This window comes from Homo sapiens, chromosome X (assembly GCF_000001405.40).
Source record: "Homo sapiens chromosome X, GRCh38.p14 Primary Assembly".
Lineage (NCBI taxonomy): Eukaryota > Metazoa > Chordata > Mammalia > Primates > Hominidae > Homo > Homo sapiens.
This window is the reverse complement of record NC_000023.11, coordinates 90,957,916-90,965,548: the sequence shown is the minus strand read 5'-3', so window position 1 is coordinate 90,965,548 and position 7,633 is coordinate 90,957,916. Positions and strand designations below refer to the sequence as shown.

At 38.6% G+C, this 7,633-nt stretch overlaps 1 annotated feature.

The window, feature by feature from the left end:
- Positions 324–482: a silencer, noted in NCBI's record as "fragment chrX:90220066-90220224 (GRCh37/hg19 assembly coordinates)". NCBI's record gives its function as "represses an EF-1alpha promoter that drives an FKBP-Casp9 reporter gene in an ReSE screen in K562 erythroleukemia cells {active_cell/tissue: K562}" and the evidence as "EXISTENCE:reporter gene assay evidence [ECO:0000049][PMID:32094911]".

The window sequence follows — 7,633 nt, the reverse complement described above, 5'->3', positions numbered from 1 at the left end:
GGAAACAACAATTATATAGTTATATATAGTGACTATACATGGGAGTTAGAAAATAATAAATAAGAAAAGCAATGCAGATTATAATTATAAAGAAGGATGAAAACACTAAATCAGAACTAATTGCTTTTTTTTTTTTCTTTTTTTTAAGATGGAGTCTTGCTCTGTCGGCCAGGCTGGAGTGGCGATCTCGGCTCACTGCAAGCTCCGCTTCCCGGAGCTTGCCATTTTCCTGCCTCAGCTTCCGGAGTAGCTGGGACTACAGGCGCCCGCCACCACGCCCGTCTAATTTTTTGTATGTTTTTTAAGTAGAGATGGTGTTTCACCGTGTTAGCCAGGATGGTCTCGATCTCCTGACCTCGTGATCCGCCCGCCTCCGCCTCCCAAAGTGCTGGGATTACAGGCAAGAGACACCGCGCTCGGCCAACTAATTGCTTTTTTTAAGAGGGTGGAAGACAGCAGGTTATCTGGTCCTGACGACAATACATAGAATAAAAAAACAAAGGAATAAAATAAAGACAAAAATACAAAATTGAACTTGTAAGGGAAAATGTATGTTAAACTAAAAGGAAGTTTGCAAAGATGCTGATCTTTAAAATTTATATATATTAGAAAGGGCATCCACTTAAAATGAAAATATTTGTTAGAGGATTAAGTCATAAAATTATTTTTAAGAACAATCCCCGTGCCCACTTTTAAACAACAACAACAAAAAAGCTGGTTCAGTAGCAAGAATATTTGGTAAGTTAATCATAAAAGATAAATAATAGTTTCAGATCATTTTTCGCAAAGGAAAAGGAAGAAAAGATAAATAAGTAATACAATGAGGAAAATCTCTTGGGCTCCGTAGGACTACACAATCATAAATATTAGTTAACAATTTTTAAAGACGGCAGTATGTGAAGAATCAAGGAGTAATAAAATAAGAAAAGTAAAATATAGAATATTTGGATTCACGAAATGATAATATGAGCTTTAACCACAACAAAACACAACTTCATGAAACATTATTTCCATTGTGAATGATGAATGATGCAATGATTGTGTCTAAGGAAAGCATTATTGTCTGATTCACATTGCAAGTAAAACAAATGCTAATTTACTATGCATCACTGCTATTGTTGTCAGTGGGCCAGTTCAAGTTCTTGATTTAACCGCACAAAACAATTTGAGAGCAAATTCAAAGTAAGAGTAGGCAGAGAAGCTTATTGTAAACAGAAAGCATACTCTGAGAGTATGCTGGCTGCCAAAGGGAGAGACAGCAGCTATCGCCTTAAGAGGAATTCCTTGTATGGGATTTGTACATACATACCTACATATTTATTTATTTATTTATGCTTATTTGTATTTGTTCTTTTAACTTTTATTTTAGATTCAGGGGTACATTTGCAGGTTTGTTGTATAGGTGAACACATGTCATGGGGGTTTGGTGTACAGATTATTTTATCACCGAGATACTAAGACTAGTACCTGATAGATCTTTTTTTTCTGACCCTCTCCCTCCTCCCACCCTCCACCCTCGAGTAGGCTCCAGTGTCTGCTGTTAGCCTCTTGGTTTCTATGTGTTGTCATTATTTAGCTTCTACATATAAGGGAGAACAAGTGGTATTTGATTTTCCATTCCTGCATTAGTTTGCTAAGAATAATGGTCTCCAGCTCTACCCAAGCTACTGAAAAGAAAATTATGTCATTCTTTGTATGGCTGCATAGTATTCCACGGCCTATAGGTACCACATTTTTCTGTCCAGTCTACTGTTGATGTGCATGCGTTTAGGTTGCTTAAATGTCTTTGATATTGGGGATAGTGCTGCGATGAACACACACATACGTATGTCTTTATGGTAGAACAATGTATTATATTCCTTTGGGTATATAGCCAGTAATGAGTTTGATGGGGAAAATGATAGTTCTGTTTTTAGGTCTTCGAGGAATCAGCATACTCTTTTCCACAATAATTAAACTAATTCACACTCCCAACAGCAGGGTAAAAGTGATCCCTTTTCTCTGCAACCTTGCCAGCATCTGTTATTTTTTGTCTTTTTAATGATTAGCCATTCTTACTGGGTGAGATGGTATCTCATTGTGGTTTTGATTTTTATTTCTCCAATGATCAGCGATACTGAGCTTTTGTTCATATGCTTCTTGGCCACATGTATGTCTTCTTTTGAAAAGTGTCTGTTTATGTCCTTTGCCCACTTTTTAATGTTTTTTTGTTGTTGTTGTTTGTTTGTTTGTTTTTGCTTATAAATTTAAGTTCTTTCTAGATACTGGATATTAGACCTTTGTCAGATGAGAGTTTGCAAAATTTTCTCCCATTCTGTAGGTTGTCTGTTACTCTGTTCATAGTTTCTTTTGCTGTGCAGAAGCTCATTAGTTTAATTAGATCATATTTATCAATTTTTGCTTTTGTTGTAATGGCTTTTGGTGTCTTTGTAATGAAATCTTTGCCAGTTTCTATTTCCAGAATGGTATTTCCTTGGTTATCTTATGTTGATTTTATAGTTTTAGCTGTTACATTTAACTCTTTAATCCATCTTGAGTTGATTTTTATGTATAGTGTAAGGAAGGGATCCAGTTTCAATCTTCTGCACATGGCTAGCCAGTTATCTCAGCACTATTTATTGAAGAGAGTCCTTTCCCCATTGAATGTTTTTGTCACCTTTGTCAAAGATGAGATCATTGTAGGTATGTGGCATTATTGCTGGGCTGTCTGTTGTGTTCCATTGTTCTCTGTGTCTGTTTTTTTGTTTTGTTTTGTTTTGTTTTACCAGTACCATGCTGTTTTGGTTACTTTAACCCTGTAGTATAGTTTGAATTTGGGTAACATAATGCCTTCACCTTTCTTCTTTCTGCTAAAGATTGATTTGGCTATGCAGGCTTCTTTTTTGTTTCATATGAATTTTAAAATAGCATTTACTAATTTTGTGAAGAATGTTATTGGCAGTTTGATAAGAATAACTTTCGAATCTGTAAGTTGGTTTTGGCACTATGGCCATTTTAAAGATATTAATTCTTCCTACCCATGAGCATATATTTTTTTAAATTTGTTTGTGTTGTCTCTGATTTCTTTGAGCAGTGGTTTGTTATTTTTATTGTAGAGATCTTTCACCTCCCTGGTTAGCTGTATTACTAGATATTTTATCTAATTTGTGGCAATTGTGAATGTGATTGTGTGCCTGATTTGGCTCCTGGCTTGGATGTTGTTGGAGTACGGGAATGCTACTGATTTCTATATGTTTATTTTGTATCTTTAAATGTTGCTGAAGTTGTTTATCAGCTCTCAGAGCTTTCGTGAAGAGACTATGGGGTGCTTTAAGACATAGAATCATGTCATCTGCAAAAAGGGATAGTTTGACTTCCTCTCATCCTATTTGGATGTCTTTTAGTTTTTCTTCTTTTCTGATTGCCTGGTCAGGACTTTTGTACTATGTGGAATAGTGGTGGTGAAAGAGGGTATCCTTGTCTTGTGCTGGCTATAAATCAAAATGCTTTCAGCTTTTGCCATTCAGTATGATGTTGGCGGTGGGTTTGTCATAGATAGCTCTTATTATTTTAAAGTATGTTTCTTTAATGCATAGTTTATTGATCATTTTTTTACATGAAGGGATTTTGAATTTTATTGAAAGCCATTTCTGCATCTACTGAGAAAATCATATGTATTTTTCTTTAGCACTGTTTACGTGATGAATTAAATTTAGTGATTTTTGTATGTTGAACCAACATTGCATCTCAGGGATAAAGATTACTGGATCATGGTGGATTAGCTTTTTGATATGCTGCTGGAGTTGATTTGCTAATATTTTGTTGAGAATTTTTGCATCTATGTTTATCAAGAATATTGGCCTTAAGTTTTCATTTTTGTGTGTGTCTCTGTCCGGTATTGATATTGAGATGATGCTGGCCTCATAGAATGAGTTAGGGAGGGGTCCCTCCTCATTTTCTTAAGAATAGTTTCATTAGGAATGGTACCAGCTTTTCTTTGTATACCTGGTATAACTTGACTGTGAATCCATGTGGTTCTAGGCCTTTTTGGGTTGTTAGTACATTTATTACTATTTTAATTTCAGAGCTTTATATTGGCCTATTCAGGGATTCAGTGTTTTCTGTTTCAGATTTTGAAGGGTGTATGTGTCCAGGAGTTTACCTGTTTCTTCTAGATTTTCTAGTTTTTGTGCATAGAGGTGTTCATGGTAGTCTCTGATAGTTATTGGTATTTCTGTGGGGTCACTGGTAATGGCTTCATTCTTTCTAATTGTGTTTATTTTTATCTTCTCTCTTTTCTTCTTTATTAGTCTAACTAGTGGTCAGTCTTATAATTTATTTTCTAAAAACCAACTCTTGGTTTTGTTGATTGTGCATGGATTTTTAAGCCTCAGTCTCCTTCAATTCAGCCTTATTTTGGTTATTTCTTGTCGTTTTGTAGCTCTGGGGTTGGTTTTCTCTTGCTTCTTTACTTCTTCCAGTTGTGACGTTAGGTTGTTAATTTGAGATCTTTCCAACTTTCTGATGTGGGTGTTTCTTGTTATAAATTTCCCTTTAACACTGACATAGCTGTTTCCCAGAGATTCAACTATCTTGTCTCTTTGTTCTCATTAGTTTCAAAAAACTTGATTTCTGCCTTAATTCCATTATTTACCCAAAAGTCAATCAGGAGGAGGTTGATTAATTTCCATGTAATTGTATGGTTTTGAGCAATTTTCTTTGTATTGAATTCTATTTCTATTGTGCTGTGGTCTGAGAGTGTGACTGGTATGATTTCATTTTTTTAAAATTTTATGAGGATTATTTTATGTCTGATTATATGGTCAAGTTTGGTGTATGTGGTATGTGGTGATGAGAATAATGTACAATTTGTTGTTTTTGGATGAAGAGTTCTGCAGATGTCTATTAGATCCATGTGGTCAAGTGTTGAGTTCAGGTCCTGAGTACCTTTGTTATTTTTTTGCTTGGTTCTGTCTAATACTTTCAATGGAGTGTTGAAGCCTCCAACTAGTATTGTATGGATATCTAATAAGGAGCTTATTTCTCCTTCACCTACTAAGTTTATTTGGCTGAATATGAAATTCCTTGTTTAAGATTTTTTCTTTAAGAATGTTGAGTACAGGCCCCTCATCTTTTCTGGCTTATAGAATTTCTGCTGAAAGATCTGCTGTTAGCCTGATGGGGTTCTCTTTGTAGGTGACTTGCCCTTTGTAACTGCCTCTAATATTTTTTCTTTCATTTTGTCCTTGGAATGCCTCATGATTAGATGTCTTGGTGATGGTCTTCTTGTGTAGTATCTTGTAGGGGTTCTCTGCATTTCCTGAATTTGAATGTTGGCCTCCCCAGCGAGTTTGTGAATGTTTTTATGGACAATATCCTGAAATATGTTTTCTAAGTTGCTTGCTTTCTCCTCATTTCTTTCAAGTACATACTCCAATAAGTCATAGATTTTATCTCATTATGTAATCCCATATTTATCGGAGGTTTTGTTTGTTCCTTTTTATTTTATTTTTTTCATTTTTATTTCTGTCTTATTTCAGAGAGCTTGTCTTCAAGCTCTGAGTTTATCTCTGCAGCTTGGTCTAGTCTGCTGTTCATACTTGCAATTTCATTATGAAATTCTTATAGTGTGTTCTTAGCTCTATCAGACTAGTTTGGTTCTTTTTTAATACTAACTGTTTTATCTATAAGATCCTCCATCATTTTTTGTGATCCTTTTCTTCCTTGGATTGATTTTCATGTTCTCCTGAATCTCAATGATCTTCATTTCTATCCACATTCTGAACTCTACTTCTGATATTTCAGCCATCTCAGCTCAGCTGAGAACCCTTGCTGGGAACTGCTGTAGTCATTTTGAGGAAAGGAAACACTTTGGCATTTTGAGTTGCCAGTTATTGTGTTGGTATTTTTCTCATCTGCACTTGTGGGTGTTTCTTTAACTGCAGTGTAAATTGACTAGTCAGTACACTCCTTTTCTTGGTGTTTTTTCAGATGGTTGAGGCTCTGTACATGGCCTTTATCAGAAACTGAATTCTTGTCTTTGGTTTCAAAGGAAGGTATGCTTAGAATGTAGTTTTGGTGTTTAAGTTTTGGTGTGTGATCCAGTAGGTGCTGCTTAGGCATAATGGTTAGTAAGTAAGTGCTGGTTCTGTTATGTGACTCCTGTTTTTCTTTTTCTTTTTTCTTTTTTTTTTTTTCTCTTGATTGCAGCTATATTCTCTCTTAATGCTCTGAAAATGTGGTCTCCTCTCCCATTTGAGTGCTGGTTACAGATCTCAGCTTAGCAGTTTCGGGCTGCACACCCAAGCCCTGGAATAATCTCAGGCTTCATTTTTCCTCCCCAGCTTGGAAGCAGCAGGGAAAGGGAGCTTAGCAGCAGTTGTGGTCAATGCTACTCCACTTGTTCTGGGGCTCCAACCAAGAGAGATGTAAAGCTTCAGTCAATCAGTGTGATTGGCTTAGAATGGGGTGGCTGCACTGTGGGCCCAAACTGGGGTCACTTCCTGGTGATAAGCAGTGGAGTGTGTGTGATCTGTGGGAGACAGCCTGGCCTCTCCTTAGGGCAACTACAGCTTGCTTGAGGTATGGATAAGGCACTCAGGATCTTTGCTGTTTCCTTAGTCCAAGGGCAGCATGGGCAGTTTCACTGGAGAGGCAATGGCAAAAGGGATTTCTGTCTTCCCTGGGAGCTCCACCTATGAGAAAGGCAGAGCCATTGCTACTGGGAGTATTCAGCCAGTGAATGGGGGTAGCTTTACTGCTGGCCTGAGCTAGGGGCTGTCATTGTCAGGGAGAAGGGAGTCTAGGGCTTACAGAGAAGAGAGACAGGGTTGTTCTCCATATGTTGGCTGAGATGTGCTGTAAGCCCAGGTGAAGCCCTCAAGCTCTTTGTTTCTTCTGCCGACTGAGGTCAGATGGGACAGATCCACTGCTGTGGCAGTGGCAGAGGGGCTGTCAGTTGGCTCTGGGAGCTCCTACCCACAGCAACTCAGAGCCACTACCAGTGGGTATGCTCAGCAATGGTTGGGGTGGCTGTTCTGCATTCCTGAGCCAGGGGACCTACCTGGTGAAGAGGGGGCATGGGGGCTCCCAGGGAAGAGAGACTGGACTCCTCTATGTATGCTGGCTGCACTGTACTGGAGGTGCCAGTGTAATGACTATTGTCTTTGTTCTTTTCCCAGCTTGAAGGCAATTAAGGCAGTACTACTGCAGCTGCAATGGTGGAGGGGCTGTGGATTGAATCTGGGATTTCCTCCTTGGAGAAGGCAAGGACAGGGGTTAGGCTGGAGTCCCAGGTCAGGAGGTCCTGCACAGTGAGGACAAGTGTGGACAGGGACCTGCATGGGGAACAGTCAGGCCACTTTTCTGTGGGGCAGCTGCACTGCACTGGGGGTCTGTGCCGAGTTCTAGTCGCCATGGATTCTCCAGAGGCCGAAGGCAACAGTGGCAAAGTATGTAAATAAGTAAAGATGGCAACCCACTCCTCCCTTTGGGATCTCTGTCTCAGGGAGGTTCAGAGCTGCTGATGGCCCAAGAACTCCAGCAAGGAATGGCTGGATTCTCAGATCTGGAGGTCCTGGTCAGTGAGGAGAACGGGGATAAAGGCCTGCATTAAAAACAGTCTGGATGCTTTTTTGTAAGGCAGCTTCAATGT